At 35.5% G+C, this 18,912-nt stretch overlaps 1 protein-coding gene and 1 long non-coding RNA gene across 21 annotated transcripts in view; one reads left to right on the top strand and one right to left on the bottom strand.

Moving 5' to 3' along the window:
* Nucleotides 1-18,912, top strand: part of RHOBTB1 (Rho related BTB domain containing 1) — a 141,108-nt gene that overhangs the window by 12,778 nt on the left and 109,418 nt on the right. For all 20 annotated transcript variants that reach the window (XM_047426086.1, XM_047426099.1, XM_047426092.1 and 17 more), the window contains exon 2: nucleotides 3,245-3,345. The gene's annotated coding sequence lies outside the window, so the exon portion shown is untranslated. The remainder of the gene's footprint in view (nucleotides 1-3,244; nucleotides 3,346-18,912) is intronic.
* On the bottom strand, nucleotides 13,736-16,080 carry LOC124902433 (uncharacterized). The gene is made up of 2 exons (XR_007062153.1): nucleotides 16,040-16,080; nucleotides 13,736-13,885 (listed from the first exon to the last, which is right to left on the bottom strand). It is a non-coding gene; the product is annotated as an uncharacterized LOC124902433 (long non-coding RNA).

The raw sequence follows: 18,912 nt of genomic DNA, 5'->3' as shown, positions 1-18,912 counted from the left end.
ATTTGCTCTTTTCATTCTTTTTGTCTTTCAAATCAGACAGTCTTGCTGTTGTCACTTATTATTAAAAAATATTTTCTAAAATGGTGTCCTTAACCCAGTGTTCAGAGCCTTTCACAGTGATATTTGACTGAAAAAAATCCTTTAATCTCCTATAATTTTTAGAGCATTGAATATTATCCCATGGAAGTTAGAAATGTGAATAAAGCAAGGTTTCCCTAGCTAGACTGTAAACTTCCTGATAGCAAAGGCACTGCTGGGTGTATAGCTATCTAGAATAAAGCCAGAGTACTATAAATGCGACTTTCATAGGAAGGGTACAATTAAGGATCCTTGGTTTGTAGAAGAGGAGGATACAATGAATTCTTAACCAAGGATTCAGGAAGACCCCTGAAGGAGGTGGCATTTAAACTTGCTATTAATTCATGTGTTCTTCACATCACTATTCACAATAGCAAAGACATGGAATCAACCTAGGTGCCCATCAGTGGTGGATTGAATAAAGAAAATGTGGTGTACATACACCATGGAATACTTTGTAGCCATAAAAGTAACAAAATCATGTCCCTTGCGACAATGTGAATGCAGCTGGAGGCCATCATCCTAAGGGAATTATCACAGAACTGGTAAACCAAATACTGTATATTCTCACTTATGAGTGGGAGCTAAATGTTGGGTACACATGGACATAAAGAATGGAACAACAGACACTGGGGACTACTAGATAGGGAGGGAGGGGCAAGGGCTGAACAACTACCAGTTGGGTACTATGCTCACTACCTGGGTAACAGGAAAATTTGTACCCCAAACCTCAGCATCACACATTATATCTATGTAACAAACCTGCACATGTATCCCTTGAATATAAAATAAAAGTAGAAATTATATTTTTTAAAAAATAAAATCTTAGTTCTTTGAAATAAATAAATATAACTGTGTGTTAAAAGTTGAGTATTTCAGGCCGGGCGTGATGGCTCACGCCTGCAATCCCAGCACTTTGGGAGGCCGAGGCGGGCAGATCACGAGGTCAGGAGGTCGAGACCATCCTGGCTAACACAGTGAAATCCCGTCTCTAATAAGAATACAAAAAAAAATTAGCCGGGCGTGGTGGTGGGCGCCTGTAGTCCCAGCTACCCGGGAGGCTGAGGCAGGAGAATGGCGTACCCAGGAGGCACAGCTTGCAGTGAGCTGAGATCGCGCCAGTGCACTCCATCCTGGGGGACAGAGCGAGACTCGGTCTTAAAAAAAAAAAAAAAAAAAAAAAAAAAAAAAAGTTGAGTATTTCAGACAGCAGACAGCTACTAACCAAGGTCTCAGAGGCAGGAAACAACTTTTGTCAGGGGTTAGGGGGTGGAGAGCATTTGATAGTGAGGGGAGATGGTTTAGAATGTCTGCAAAGGTTATGTGGAAAGTGGTAAAACATATTGATCTCAGATCTTGGAAAGCGTACTTGAAAAGTTTATCCTGTTGAGGTCTGTTGAAGAGCTGTTAGAAGTTTTCAAGCAAGGGGAGAAGCATGAGGTTTAAGAAAAAGACTAGAAGCACCCGGAAACCTGGGAAATGATGGGAGATTGGAAGCAGGAACACATTAGATGAGAGGTCATTGCCTACATGGGAGATGGAGGATGGTGGGTGAGTTTCTGAACTATGACAGTGACCTTGGATATGTCAATGGGAAATAGGGCTTTTTGTATGCAAGGTGGCCATAATCTAATCATTGGTTATGTGTGTTGTGGGGAGTAAGAGAATGAAGATGATGCCAAGTGTTGAACCAGGGAGAGTGGCAGTGCCACTGATTTTAAGGAACAGGGGAAAAAGGCAAATTCAGGAGAGGATGGGGATGAAGCATCCAAAAAGATATAATTTAAGCTCTAGATATGAATAAAATTGCTGCCAAGTGGAGAACCTTGTGGAAGGCCCACGTTTAAGGGAAGGCAGAAGAGAAGCCAGAAGAAGAAAATTCAGGGGAGTTTCTTGAGATGGGAATTGAGGTTTCAGGGAAGTCAAGAAAAAGATGTGGATTTCAAGGAAGAGGCCTCATGCTGTGATTTGTTTCACTGATATAATCACTAGGTTGTGCCTTTTCTCTTTCTCTTCCTTTCCCTGTGGCACAGCCCCACGAAATGGGCTGTGCAGCTGTCCGTTTTGTCTCACATCTGGGTCCACACTTCATTTTTGCAGTTCTGCCCTTACTCATTAATGAGCAGCAACTGGCCTGGAGCCACCGGCAATCAACAATTTCCTTCAGAAACTCCTCCTTACTGTTGAGAAAATGACTTAGTAAGGAAGCTGCTTGTGTCTTTGTTAGAGAGGCACAGAAAGGGAGGAGAGCTGGATGATTTGCTAATTGGGAGTTATTGGTTTTGTATTTAAGGTTTCCTGATTCAAGCTTCAGGTTTGTTTCTAGGAATAATACAGTTTTTACAGCAATAATAACTACCTCCAAGCAAAAGTACTGTTTTGCCCTTCAGTTTTTATATTAGGTAGTCAGTCGTACTCATAAAATAGTCCATTTTATCTCAATGCCTCTATTTCAGGTTTTACATGAAAAATTTCTCAATGAATTTTTTATTAGGAGGATAAAATATTTGGTTTCTTTGGAGGAAGTGATATGTTTTCTCCTAAGAATAGGACTTACAGGGTTTCTCCTAAGAATAGGACTTCGTTTTCCTTTCACCTAAATTACCAAGAAATTCAAATCCATATTATAACTTCAATCACTTCAACTGTGTTGACCAGTATATATGGCCTATATATATTTTATATATATATATATATATATATATATCTTTTATTTATATTTCATTAATTTCTTGGAAAGCACCTCAAATCCTCAAGGTAAAAAGAAAGTCATGGCATAAATAAATAATTTTACTGTTAACTAAATTCCTTTCCAAACATTATCTCATTTGACTGTCAAAACAGTCCCACTGAGTAACTGGTATTATTACTTCCACCTGGAAGATGAGGGAAGCATCACCAGGAAGTTAAGTACTTAAAGTTCACTCAGATGGAAACTATGAGTGCGATTTGACCCCAGATATTCTGTCTCCAAAGGCAGTAGTCATTTCAGCCTTCTTTGCTCTAACTTTTGTAAGCAGCTAGGAGACTTGTAAATGGCATGTAGTTGGCTGGCATACTTCTCATTCTCATGAGAAATAATCACTGACATGAGAAACTAATATTGTTTGAGTGGTTTTCTTCTTGATAGTGAAACATTCCATGCTTGTATATATCTCTTTCCTAGGTTTTATAATAATCAAGAAGCACATGAAAGAGGCCTCTTCATCAAGCATTCTTGACTAAGTTATGAAAATGGAATTGAAGTTTATTTTCCCCCTTCATATGGTAAGTAACTACTAATTTAGGTAACAGAATTGGCTTTCCCCTTTCTTACAATATTTAACAAAGAAATGGAAAAGCATCTTGTGTAAAGATGGCATGACTTATGAATAATATCTAGATTGTCTTCATTATGTTTCACAAAAAATAGAAATATTTCGTTTTTTAGTTCAATTATGGGTTTTATAAATTCTACTTGAATATATTTTATCTGGTTTAGAATTTGAGTCATTTGGACCTACATATGAGTTTTGATTACTAAAATAACATAACTCTTCTATCCACTTTATACACAGTTAAAATTCTTTAGTGCGTAGCATTTTGTACAGGAAATTGACATGTGGACTCTGAAAAGTCATGGCCATATACAAGGAAGATTTAGAAATGACCAGATTGCTGTGCGTGGCATTTCTCTTTTTCCCAGATGCCTTAGCTTGGAGCATCCGCCCTTTTTGGCCTGGGCACTGAATGTCTTTAATTAGAAAATCTTATTAGAACTAGAGTCATCCCAAGTGAGTAAAATCAGCTTTTGAAAAAAGGTCCACATTATTGAGTTTTTTCCCCAGAGTATTGTGCCTAAAAAACGTAGAATTATTTGAAATGGACAGTTTACTCTCCTTTGTCCACCCATAAAATTATTTGTTATTTTCACTCTTCATTGTATTTTATTTTTCTTCATATGTTTATATGTTCTAATGCATATTTAAAAGGAAAACTCTCTGTGTGTAGCTGCAAATATTGTAAAATTTCATTTATTCCAAAGAATTAAGATGGTGGGCATATCTGAATTTGTGGGAAAGCTGAATTATAGATAACTCTTAAACAAATGTGGCTTTTATTATCTTTAACTACATATAGTAACTTCAACAAATCATAATAAAGTAGAAGTCCTTAAGGAGACCTGTTATAATAAATCATATGAACATTTTGTTATTAGCATATAGATTGGATGTATGTAGGAACTTGTAAAGTGCCTGAGGTTCCTTGAAAATTGTTTATTCTGTGTCTAAAATGTGTACATAAGACTGAAAATAAATGTTTAAAACACCATATATTATCCACCTATAAATAAAGTATTTACAAAGCAAAAGTAAATGTCCACCCAGCTCATGAACAAATTATCGAAAGATTTTAAATTTATTGAAGTCCCAAATTAATGAGATATTACCATGTGTGCATAAATAACTTAAAGAATAAAATTTGCTGATCCTTCTCTCATATGGGTATTTGTGCTAATGAACCAGGATCCTATTTACACTATTAGTCCCCAAAGTAATTGCTTATTTGAAGAAGTTCTGTCTTATGGGTTTTCAGTTAATTAAATCTATTTGCATTTTATGCACACATTTCAAATTCTCAAGCCCTACGTTTCATAAGCCAGATTCAAATATGTTCATGTAATAATATCTCTCATTAAGGCTGTAGTCTTTCATTTTTAAAGGAACATTCAGAATAGTCATATGCATAAAACACTTATTAATAAAATCCTTTCAATATTTTAGAAAAGTCAATCCATTAAATGTTATTTTTTTAGTTTAAATTTTCCTATTTGTAATGGTGATTACTATGCTGAACAGACTTCCAATCTCTAATGTTTCCGTTAACTTAATTTATTCAATGATTTTTTTGCTTTGATTTTGCATGTCAGTTTTTAACTTCTAATATGCCTTTAGAATTACAAGCACCCTTTTCAAGGTACGTGCATATTAACTGGTTGATCTTGCCTACCCAATTGGAGCAAAAATATGGAGCAAAACTTTTCTAATTTTAATACTGAGGAACAGAGTACAACAATTCAGAAAGTTAGAGAGATTTTAAGTGGTATAGTTTTCAGGTAGTTGTCAAATATTTGACCAAGAAGTTGGGAATTAAAGTACGTAAGTGATAAAAATTGTAAACGTCTTCATTAGATCCAAACTATGGAAATCTTTCATTGCTATCCTACCTGGGAAGCTTGAAAAAGATACTGAAATTAGGAGATGGAAGAAGTAGAGGGACAGGCCAGAAGGAGGGCGGGGCCGGGAAGCTCTGCAGGGTCCATGCTGTGTAGCAAGGCAAGGCCAGACATTGGGGAAGGTACCCAGGGGCACAATTTGGAAAGCAGGTTTGAAATCTAGTTTTGAAATCATGCCATACTAAACTATCTTTAGGGGGTTATTACATGCTCACCTATTTCAGTGTTTAGGTGTATTAGAGTGCATCTAGGTGTATTCCTCTTTGCAAAGATGTAAAATGCAAAATCTGAATACATTTAGATTCAAAAATTCCAGCCTAGTATTATATCTGAATCAATAAAGAGTAAAGTATCCAAGAGGAAAAAAGAAAGAAAGAAATGATATCCTAAAATCAGGATAAGCATGACACTTATTTTATTCTTTTACATAGAACAATATTGGACAATAATGTGCTTTTGTTCTCATCTTAACATGGGATTATACTATAACTATAAGAAGAAAAACAATTTTTGATGCCCTGAAAAATCATATGTCTTATAATAAGCAAATTTCATTCAGTTAATTGTTATTTATTCATTTAAGCAATGATCTATGTAAAGTGTAATACCAATAGTCTCCTAAGAAGATATCATTTTCACTGGAATAGCCCTAAGGAAGCATTTCTTCTCATTTAGAGAAAGTAGGGATAAAGCACTTGTATTACCATTTGTATAAATTTTTAATACTGAATAAAATATTAGTATTTAGCTTAATATTGATTCCCAACATAATATTCCTCCATAATGGCATGCTAATTGGTTAGAATTAAATCAGACAGATTCAAGAACACTGAGAATAGACCATCTAGCACTTGTAATTTTTTTTCATTAGTTTCCAGAATTCCAGTTAAAATGGAATTAATCTGTCGATTAAAAGACCATGGAACAATAAAAGTTCTGTGCCTTATGTCATGTGCACCGCCTTTCCCTCCCACTGCTCCATGCCCACCATAAGAAGGGAGCGGAAGAGGAAAGAGGGCAAATGAAACGCACATGAAATTCACATGTGAATTTCAACCTCAATGTCATTGTGTTCAAGAGTGAGAGTCTACATGCATTCTAGCCCTGTAACTTACTATGTGTGAGAAAGGCATTTTACATAAGTCTCTGGGAGTCACAATTTCCTCATCAGTAATATTAGTCTAACAGTATCAGCCTCTTAGAGTCATAAAGGAAGTAAAACAGAGGTTCCCAATAGGAGGAAATTTTGCCCATCAGGAGGCATTTGGTAATGACTGGAGATTGTTTTGGCTATAACGATTGGAGGGGTTGAGTGTGCTACTGGTATCTAGGGAGGCCAAGGATGCTTGCTAATATCCCTAGATGCATAGGATGGCCCCCAACAACAGAGTCATCTGGCCAACAAAATCAATGGTATCAAGGTTGAGAAACCCTGGAGTAATGTGAAGTAATATATGCAATGAGCACAATGCCTGATACACAATACACCCTCAAAAATCTTAGTATAATTATGTTGTTACTGTTGTCATTTGAGAAGGAACTCCACATCACCTAAATGGTATCCGTACTGAGTACTGTCAACAGTTCAGCAAGCCCATCCCAGTACAGTTAGTCAGGCCTATCTGCTAAGTTACCTACTTGAAGTGGCCAATATATAGGTGCCTTTAGGAGTAGAGTGACCCACTTAATACTTGACTAGTCTAGAAGGCACATAGATATGATTATAGCAAAGTTCATGGGCCGCCATTTAATTTCTCAGAAAGTAGTCATTTAATCTTCTTAGAAATTGGAAGAAATAGAAAAAGACAAATAAAAAGTAACTTACAGGCCAGCCACAGTGGCTCATGCCTGTAATCCCAGCCCTTTGGGAGGCCGAGGCCAGTGGATCACCTGAGGTCAGGAGTTTGAGACCAGCCTGGCTAACATGGTGCAAACCCATTTCAACTACAAATACAAAAAATTAGCCAGGCATGGTGGTGCACACCTGTAATCCCAGCTACTTGGGAGGCTGAAGCAGGAGAATCACTTGAACCCAGGAGGCAGAGGTTGCAGTGAGCCGAGGTCGCACCATTGCACCCCAGCTTGGGCAACAAAAGCGAAACTCCGTGTTAAAAAAAAAAAGTAACTTATAATACCAAGTGACTGTTAATTTTTTAACTTTTGCTGTTAGTAATGCATCAGGAGTCTCCTGATTGTCATGTTTTACTTTATAAAATAAGCTAATATTTGGACAAATGGCTCAGAAATATGGTCTGATTAATATGAGATCTTGATTAATTGGTTATGTGATACATGAATATTATCAATTTCAAAACCAGTTGAATGCATCAAAATAGTTTTGACTTGATGCTAAACCATTTTAAAGGGGGAAAAAATCTTGGTTAATGCAAGAGTTTTGAGGTCAGACGTGAGTTTGCATTTCAGCTTTACAACCTTCAAGCTGTGTGACCTTGGATAATTTACCTAATTTCTCTGCACTCAGTTTCTTCATCTGTTTAACAGGCATAAATTTACCTTGTAGGGCTCTTGAGAGAATTGAGACACAAAATATTTGGCATATATGAGAAGTGAGTAAATGAAAACAGTTATTATTTTCATCATCTTTATTATTTTGACCCTAAAGTAATTCTGGGGACCTCGCATTGCCTTGGAGTTCTAATTATAGCCTTCTCTTCTCATTGTAAAGAATGATAACTATGATGTTAAGTACTTTTTACTGACAGAGAAACTTCAAATGGCATTTGTTACCTCAATAAACAAAAATCTTAGACTCATTTCAAAAAAATTCATTTCTGAAGAAAAAAGAAAACTTACATATCAAACATAGAATTTCCCAGTAAGGATATTTTTAAGGAAATGGCAGATTTCCAAAATTAAAGAATGAATAATGTACACATCTTTCTAGCATATTTTAATATAGTTGATAATCCACTTTTTAATTAGCCACCTAATTATAAACCATTACAAATTTCCCCAGGTGAATGTAGTAACCTACTTCAGAGAGGGAAGTGGCTCTTTGAATGGGCATTCCTACTATGAAATTTGACACTTTTTCAGTCCCAATTTGTTCTAAACTTAAACAGCTCAGGAGAGATGGGAAAGAGCTCTGTTTCATAACCTAATCATTTCTACTGCCAGAAAGATTGAGTAGAAGGCTAAATTCTAAATTCACCTTTCATCAATGTTTAGGTTTTTCCTTTTTCTTTATTCCCCAGAGAAGACCCCACTTTTTATGTGTGTTCCCATCATTCGTATGTTCTAAGTTTGAAAATAAAACATTTACAATTAATCCAAACTCTGGGTTCCTTCATTTTTCTTGGTGGTATGCTTTCTGCTTAGCTCATGTTTCCCCAACTTAAAACTCTCAATAAGCAAAGGACTGAAAGGTACCTGAGAAGAGCATCTCAATGTCATAATAGACAATTGTTTAATTCCACAACCCAGACAATGTTAAGGAGGGACATTTTTAATCTATTCCTTAGCATTCAATGCTTGAAGTTCCCAAAGTTTAATCATTTTTTTATCGTATATTCATAACCTTAGTCAAAAATGTGTTCAACTTACCAATTGGTCCAGCGGACATTTATTGATTTTTGTATTGAATTCTCTCTTCCAGCCAGTTTTAGCTTTGTGTAGTTACAACTCTAATATGTTTGCATTTAATTTTAAACTATCACCTATCATTAATGTCTTGCTCATATTCATTAAGCTAATGCAAAGCGGAGAGTTGAACTATTAATTTTAATGAATTTAACTGATCACTTTGCTTCCACCCTTGCCTCCTATAGTCTTTTTTCAATAAAGTATAAATCATATAATTTTGCTCCTTGACTCAGAACCTCCATTGGCTCCCTGTTTCACTCAGAGTCAGCCAGCAGTGACCTGCCTGACCTCACTTCCTTCCGGTTCCTCCCTCTCCCATTCTACTATATTCCAGCCACCCTGCCAGAACATATAGTGTGTTTCTGCCTTATGACCTTTTCACTTGCTGTTTAGTCTGTCTGGGACACTTTTCTTCAGTCACACATCCACGACCTGCTCTCTCACTTCCATGAAGTCTTTTGTTCAAATCTCACCTTCTCAATAAGACCTTCACTAACTACCTCTAAAAATGTAATCTCTTCCCACACTTCCTAGTTCCCTTTTCTGATTTATTTCTCTCTTTGATACTTGCCAACTTCTGATAAATGATGTAATTCACTCGTTGTTACAGTCTTTCTCCCTCATCTAAAACATAAGCTGCAGGCAGGCAATGATTGTTGTTGACTTTCACTAGTGTATCCCAACCATGTACTCCAGTGCCTGGTATTGGTTAAATTGAATTGAAGTTGAATTGCACCCTTATTCACCTCATTTCTTTTCCCTCAGAGCCATAATTTGCCATTCTGCAATATAGTGATTGTATATTCTGGTGTTCTGCCTTTATTATAGTTTGTTTAGGAAAATTTTGATCCCCTTACCCACAGCTAGACTTACGAGATGGAGGCCATGGTTTCATTGTATTTTCTTTTTGACCATTGATAAACTTTAACTAGGTAAGTTTGCATTTTAGCCATATTCCTTTCCTTATTATTTTTCCTATTGGGCAAGACACTGTTATCACCAAAATGGTAAATTTACTGGGATAAATTAGAATCATGATCAAAACACTGGGTAAATTCTTAGGCAAAAAAAGGTAGATACAGATGAAAATAACAAGCTCCACAAGCAATTAAATAAAAAAACAAAAGAGGATTAGTTTCCTTTGAACCTAGGCACACTTTTCCTAGCATACATGTTCCTAGCATAAATATTAGAGCCTTGAACCTGGTTCGAGAAAATACCTACCTACTGATGACAAGGAAGCCATAAATATAATTTATGACCAAAAATTAGTCACTGTTTATTATTGCTGGTGACACATGATACATAGGGGGAGATTTGGCAGTGTTTCAGACATCTCCAGCCAGCCATTTATCATATCATAGAAGAAGAGGAGGTATTTCTATATTAATGGCCTCTATAAAAGGAAGTGAGTAGAGGAATGTCTGATATGTTTTGTCATTGAGAATCAAAGGGACATTGACAATGTTAAAAATGTGCTGAGTGGATTACAGGTTTTGTATAAGTAGTTCTTCAAAATAACAATGCTCTATTAAAAAAAGAAAAAGAAGAAGTAGAAGAAGAAAGGAACTATGTTCTATGTTGCTTAGCTCTCTCTTGTGCCCTCGAATGACATTTCTGGATGCGAGCTGAGAAACAAAAGCTTGATTTATCTCTAGAACCAGCAACATTTTGAGCAGCTTGATAGCCTTGAGACCCTGCTGACTCACAGCCATGCTACTGTCCCAGCACGGGTTTACACTGCAGATCGTTTTGATACAATACGCAGAGACCCAACATACCCACTCTCTCTCCCAACTTAGCCTTAATTCTTTATCTCAGTCTATAATGTAGAATAAAACAAAGACCAAATCATGTTAATAACTTCCACTTGATTGAGAAATGCAAACCCATGTTCCCTTTGTAACTACTATGTCTATGCAAGTGGAGACATAAAGCCCTTTGGGAGAAGACTTTAAATATGGGGTTGGAGATGTGAACAGCCAGGAACTTTGTCTCAGAAACGGTAGGAATAAGCCACTAAAAAGTTGTTTTAACATGGCCAATAACTTCTGTGATGCTTTGCAGAATTCTGAAGACGCCATTAAAAATTAAATAAAAAGCCTCAGCTCAGTTTTGTGTATGCTTCAATAGGCAAAAATATATATTTAATGCAGAGGGTGTTGAATCTGAATTAGTACAAATATTATTAATTTAATGTTCATACTGCATTTTATGGTTTATAAACTGCTTAGCAATAATTTTATACATTTTTCCTCACAGCAGCACTGTAAAATATATCGGCATTTTATTTTCCCATTTTATAGATGAGGCAACCTTTAATAAGTGATCTATTTCTTTCCTGTGCATATCAGTTAACGGGTAAATGATTAATTTATGTCTACATGAACTTCATCATGCAGAATATTTATTTTAGTGTGAGTTGGTATTTATTTTACCCACAAAGCATTACAGTATCCAATTATATATGCATGTTTTAAAGGCAGTAAAGCAGCCACCAGTAGTTAATGCAACATTAAGTCAGAGATTTTTAAATCTACATAAATTCTGAGTTAGGGTATTAAATCAACCATCCCTTTTTCACCACCTTGGTTCATGTGGGTGAGAAATGGTCCTTCTATAAAATGACCACATGGCATCTGGGGATTGGGACAGAAAAGATGTATTGAGATTTACAGAATTTACAATATTAACAGTAAAAAAAGAACCAAGTGATTTATAATTACATTTGGTGAGAAAAAAGTAAACAAATCTTATCATTTGCCTCTGCCTGTGGAATAGCTTGTGATCATGAGACATCTTTTTTGGTCTCTTTCTTCTTTCACTTTCTGCCTTCATTTCTTCCTTTTGTTTTCTTTATTAATTTTTGCATCTGTAAAATTGTTGTCTTAGCTGCTTGTATGGAGGAGCATAAGCAGCCATACATAAGTGACATGTTAAGGTTTCATAAATAGGGCAACACCCCATGAAGCTGTCATTGGCATTATTTCTCCATATTGCATTATATTATATTGAGCTATAAGTAAAATTGCTTCTTTGAAAGTGTATGGTACTTAAAGGCCAAGGATCTCAAAATGCTCCCTAAGCACTGACTCAGCTAATACACTTCTAATATCAATCTACTACTCTAATGCTACAATTTAGAGAGGAAAAAGCACCAAAAATTTCAGTCATTTTATTCTAAGTCAGAATTTGTTTAATTAGAAACGTGCCTTCTTTCCATGACAATTTATAATATATAATTCTCCTTCATTTACAGATCTCAAGACTCTTAAATTTAGCCAATGAAGCTAAGATTTTAAAAAATTTATTGCAAGGAGTCCCTGCCCTAATTCCACATGCAAAAGTTTCTGATAAAGTCTAAAGATTGGCTTGTTAGCTGAGCTGTCAAAGGCGCAGATGATTTAAAACACATTTTGTGTGTTAAATATTAAACTCTTTCTGAATCCAGAAATTCTCTCTCAAATTTAACATGTATTTTTGAAACCAAAAAGTACTTACAAATCCAGAAAGTGCTCTGATGTGAATTTAAAGAAAATATTTTTATTATTAAAAATTTTGTATATAGTGAAATATAAAACCCATTACATTAGATCTACCAATAAGACAACATATTATGAGGTAATATTTTTAAATGTGTGATTTCCTATCGGGTCTGTTGGACAATGTCTACTTAATTGGGCATAGAAGTTTTAAAAACTGAATCTTTAAAACAAACAAGGGGCATTACTACAGAGGAATGTCACTGAAATATTTGTTTCAGACTTCTTGCATAAAGACTGGCTATAAAAGGAACAAGACGGGGCTGTACTTCAGTATACAGTTTCTTAACTCGGAGTTAGATACACTTGACCTGTGAGTGGGCATTGGAGATTATTTTTATATAATGAAGGCTTTTACTATATGAATATAAATATGGAGATTTCAGCGATCTTACTCTCTGTGATAAAAATAGAAAAGAATATATATATAATATATATACATATAGTCAAAAGGAGCATTTCAAATATTCGAGTACAAATTAAATATATGAAGTACATAAATTTTCTCCTTTAAAAAATCCTTCCATGTAATAAAATATCCTAATGAAATGCTGTTACTGCTTTCCTTATGTGCCACCGTTGCAATATCTAGTACCCCTGGGCTTTTCCTAGTCCAAGACTTTTTCGATGGCATTTATTATTCCCATTTATATTTATTTGACCCATATTGCAGCTTCTAAATTGGATATATCATTTTCCCCTGAGAATTTCTTGTCCTTACCTAGCCTTACAAGAGAACTGTGAATTTATATCACTTTCTAGTGCAACAATGAACTGACTGGGCAGAGAACCAGATAAGACTCCTCCCTTCCACTTCCTCATTTTCCACCATCCCCTTATAGATCATGAGGTGCAAGTGAGCATCCCATTATTGTAAATGTTGAACTGGGCTTGATTCCCAGGTTCTCAGTTTTGTAATCTCAGAACCCATTATTACAGTGTTTCTGTTTTCATTGGTCATCTTTGTATATATTATTCTGTTAGCTTTTGCCAAAATGAAACATTTCGAAGAGAGATGCTTATATGGAAAAACTGAAAAACCATTTTGTTCCTGCTAAGTAAAAACACTGTATTCCCTTTCAAAGAGAATTTATGTATAATCAGGTATTCATGATTTTTCAGAACAGCACGTGGAGAATGTTACTGAAACTCCATCTTGCTTCCACATAAAGTCAGCACAGCACTTAGTCAGTTATTACCTAGTATTTCCATGCAAGCGAATAAGTAGCATTTTAGCTTAAAATTTCAGCATTTAGTTTACACATCACTTAAAAACTCTTATGAGTAAACATGCCTATCCATTAGAAATTGTTTTTATTTGATAGTGCAAGTACAGAACAGAGAGAGGCAAAAGGGCAAATGCAGGCAGTGTCTTTCCAACAATTGATAGGACAAGGAGATTCTGGGCCAGGAACACAAGTCTCTGGACCATGTAGCAAATGTGTCCCTGGTGAGAGAAAAATGCATTAGGTTGTCATGGCCTAAAAACACCAGCCATTTACACATTCTGACGAATTCCCCTGATTCTGAACCCAGACTAACTTGGTAACCAGTTCATTGATTATGATTCTCCTTCCCATATACCTGGATTTATATCTATATCTATACCTTTAGAGAAAAATACAGCAATCAGTCAATATAGTTCATTAGCTTGATGGACATATTTTTATTGTAAATTAGTATATTGGCATGCTGCTATAAGGAAGCATTTTAATTAATGTGGTTGTTATCAATGAGGTCATTTTAAGATCATACAGCTCTCAGCCACACATACAGAGGTAGAAGTTCCATTTCTGGAACAAGAGATGAGTCATTTCTTATTCACATTTGCTTATAAAAAATACAGTCATCCCCATACATGCCATCACGATGCCTTCTCTACCCCACAGAAAAGAGAACTAATGTTTGTAAGAAATTACAGTCAGTTTACCACTATCCTCAGAGAAATAAAGTCTCTTCTGCAGGTTCCTGCAACCAGTAAGTAATTAGAGGTGACATTAAAACTCAGTTCTGACAGACGTCCTTTCAACTAAACTTGTGTCTCTGTCTAGAATCAACTGCTAGCAACATGCCCTGACTAGGAGAAACAGATGAGATTTCTTTGGCTGCTAGAGAATAAACACTGATCATATTGGTTACTTCCTCTAAACAAGTCTAAACTCAAATCCCATGCCCAAGAAATGGGTGTTCTGTACTGACCCCCCAATCTCGATGGATGTGTAGAAAAACCTTGTCTAATCATTTAGCTATGTATATTTTTTGGAGTCTGATTTTAAAATGAATGACAAACACAAAGGCATTTTGTTCATAGTGAACTTAAGTATTCATTGTATTCTCCTTATCTTGAAATTTGAAAAACAAAGAGAAACTATAGTTATTTTATCAAGCAGTTTGATAGTTGTCTTTCATGTCTATTTATATCTCTTGATTTAGTCAGAGTATGTAATTAGTCATGAACCCAGTTTCCATTATTACGTTTTGTCAATTGAAATATTGTTTTGTTTCCAAGTATACATTTATATTATTTACCTGCAACTAATTTGAAAATGGTTTTAAATATATGTATTTGAAACTGCTGGAAAGAGGGGTGACAACACTCTTAACTGATTATAGACTTAGTGATGCACAGGTAAAATATTTTAGATTTGCACCACACACTTTAGATATTAGGAGTATTATATTTCATGTTATGGAGATAGAAAATTCTGATGACTATTTTTTATCCTAAAGAATAACAGACACCAAATGGCATTTATTCAGTCATTTTGATTTAGTTTAATAAGGTCATTCTTCCATCTTCAGGTAAACTATTTGGCCTAAACTACTTCAAACATTAGAACCTTTACTTTGAGAAAAGATCATCGTCAAAGATAAAATTGTATCACCTACATCGGGAGCTCATTTCAGTGTTTAGTGTCCCTCCTCACTTTGAAGAAATTCTTCCTAACATATAACTCAAGTCAGCCCCCAAATGGCCCATATGTTCTCTTCTGCAAGTAATGTAATAAATACTTAATTATTTTGCTTATTCTTGATTTTTCATCCTTTTAATGCTCAGTTTGAATCTATGTTCTTTTCCCATTATCCCAGGCCACCAGGTTTCTCCTAGTCTAGTATTGCTTCATGGGCCTTCTGTGTTACTGATGGCATTATCTCAGTTGTTGGTGTTGTTTCTTTTGAATATGAAACTCAGCAAGCTTTGCCCTCCTCATTTAGTTCTGATGTTTCTATGATGTAATCCCTAAATTACTTTTTTCAGAATTCCTTCAGAAATGAAGTGCTAATTAAAAACAACAACAAAAAAGAAGGCTGTTAAGAAGGCTCAAATACAGTTTATGCTAAAAATTTTAAAGAAGACGATGGACAGTTTTCTCTCTTGGATGCTGTTTTGAATGTAGACAGAAAGATAAACTAAATGACCCCCTGATGATCTCCTAGCTCTGTGATTTTGTAATAATCTTAGCTTGTAACATCTCATTTTCTGCAACCACTAAAATCTTATCTGCCCTGAGATATGTGAGTGTTTAACAGATGAGAACCTTTTGATAGAGGAAAGACGCTGCTTGTTTTCTCAGAAGTAATTTTCTTAATAATTGCTTACCTTTATATTTGAGGCAGTCCATATTGAATCCTTAAATCTAGAGAAAATCATAAAAAAAAATTAACAGACATACTATATAATGATATGCAATCAATCCTTGGCTTTTGCCTTTGTTGCCCCGGCATTAGAAATATTTACTTCTATAGTCACGGTTTAAGGATTCATGAACCCCATTTTTTCAAACTAAAATCATTCTTGCTTTCGACACTGCACTTGTTTCTATTTAAAAGGGGAGTTTTGTTAACATCAGTGGGTATTTTGCCTCCAAGTGAGGCTACCTTCCAAGCAGGGTTGCCATAGAGCAAATTGCATTTGACAAGGCTGTCTGGGGAAGATTTAGCAGTAGTTAGATTAAGCTTGAGCTTGCCATTTAATCCACCACTACTGGTATTGTGTGCTAAGCTGATGATCATACTTAGAAGCACAACAATTAGGTTATTAGTTTTCTCTCTTTTTTTCTTTTTTTATTATACTTTAAGTTCTGGGATACATGTGCAGAACATACAGGTTTGTTACATAGGCATACACGTGCCATGGTGGTTTGCTGCACCCATCAACCTGTCATCTACATTAGGTATTTCTCCTAATGCTATCCCTCTTCTAGCCCCCCATGCCCCGACAGGCCCCAGTGTGTGATGTTCCCCTTCCTGTGTCCCTGTGTTCTCATTGTTCATCTCCTACTTATGAGTGAGAACATGCGATGTTTGGTTTTCTGTTCCTGTGTTAGTTTGCTGAGAATGATGGTTTCCAGCTTCATCCATGTCCCTGCAAAAGACAGGAACTCATCCTTTTTATGGCTGCATAGTATTCCATGGTGTATATGTGCCACATTTTCTTTATCCAGTCTATCATGATGGGCATTTGGGTTGGTTCCAAGTCTTTGCTATTGTGAATAGTGCCACAATAAACATACATGTGCTTGTGTCTATAGTAGAATGGTTTATAATCATTTGGGTATAAACTCAATAATGGGATTGCTGGGTCAAATGGTATTTCTGGTTTTAGATCCTTGAGGAATCGCCACACTGTCTTCCACAATGGTTGAACTAATTTACACTCCCACCAACAATGTAAAAGCATTCCTATTTCTCCACATCCTCTCCAGCATCTGTTGTTTCCTGGCTTTTTAATGATTGCCATTCTAACTCGTGTGAGATGGTATCTCATTATGGTTTTGATTTGCATTTCTCTAATGACCAGTGTTGATGAGCTTTTTTTCATGTTTATTGGCTTCATAAATGTCTTCTTTTGAGAAGTGTCTGTTCATATCCTTTTCCCAGTTTTTGATGGGGTTGTTTTATTCTTGTAAATTTGTTTAAGTTCTTTGTAGATTCTGGATATTAGCAGTTTGTCAGATGGATAGATTGCAAAATTTTTCTCCTATTCTGTAGGTTGCCTGCTCACTCTGTTGATAGTTTCTTTTGCTGTGCAGAAGCTCTTTAGTTTAGTTAGATCCCTTTTGTCAATTTGGCTTTTGTTGCCATTGCTTTTGGTGTTTTAGTCATGAAGTCTTTGCCCATGCCTGTGTTCTGAATGGTATTGTCAAGGTTTTCTTCTAGGGTTTGTATGGTTTTAGGTCTTATGTTTAAGTCTTTAATCCATCTTGAGGTAATTTTTGTATAAGGTGTAAGGAATGGGTCCAGTTTCAGTTTTCTGCATATGGCTAGCCAGTTTTCCCAACAGCATTTTTTTAATAGGGAATCCTTTCCCCATTGCTTGTTTTTGTCAGGTTTGTCAAAGATCAGATGGTTGTAGATGTGTGGCATTATTTCTGAGGCCTCTGTTCTGTTCCATTGGTCTATATATCTGTTTTGGTACCAGTACCATGCTGTTTTGGTTACTGTAGCCTTGTAGTATGGTTTGAAGTCAGGTAGCGTGATGCCTCCAGCTTTGTTCTTTTCGCTTAGGATTATCTTGGCTATATAGGCTCTTTTTCAGCTATTTTGGAACCAGTAGAAAATTTTATAAATAATTTCTACAAATACAAAGTGAAAAAATAGACCTCATGTATCAGATGGATAATTTACTTAAATTCAGGTGCTCATGTTATTATTATTAATTACATCAATAATGATAATGATGATGGTAAGAGTGTCCCATAAAAACTAGCTACCCTGAGCTAATCTGTGGCAAAACTTTATATGTATGATTTTCACTGAATCGTCACAAAAGTTCTCTGAAGTTTTACCGAAATAAAAATGGTGAGTTATGCATATATTCTGGGACATTTTTTCTGATACTGAGTTTGACTCTCCATGAATATTTTTACAAGGAGTTGTTTAGCATTCAGTTGATTATTTTTTGTTATTTGGTCCAACTGCAGTTTAGATGATACAGAATGAACATAGAAAACCATAGCATTAATCTTGCACTGTAAAAGCCCTATTTGTATTGTGACAAAAATATAAATGTGAAGTAAGCAGAAAAAAAAAGCTATGTAAGCTCTTTTCTGACCACGGAACTGTTAAAAAGTATTTGAGTCTTATGTTGTTTGGTAACGTTTCTATTGTGCTTACTATAAATGCGAAAATAATTATGCTACTGTCCAAAATGATTCTAAAGTTTCATAGTGAACTATTTTTATCAAAAATTTATTAGTTCCTCAGGTAAATGTGAAGCATTGAACTTAATACAATTACCAAGATCTATGAAATACAGAATTAATATTCAATACCGATCTGAATTATATGGATCAGTAAATATTTGATCTAAGGAACTAAAAAGGAAAAATGCATGTTATTATTAATATTCCTGTCTCTTGAATAAATACATGACTTCTGGGTGGAATAGTGAGTTTATATACCTGAAGAGAGCAGGGTTTAGTTATGCTGAATATAAGCTGTGACTACCACTCAAATCACCTAAGCCCCACT

Source organism: Homo sapiens, chromosome 10 (assembly GCF_000001405.40).
Source record: "Homo sapiens chromosome 10, GRCh38.p14 Primary Assembly".
Lineage (NCBI taxonomy): Eukaryota > Metazoa > Chordata > Mammalia > Primates > Hominidae > Homo > Homo sapiens.
This window is presented reverse-complemented; position numbering and strand designations above follow the sequence as displayed.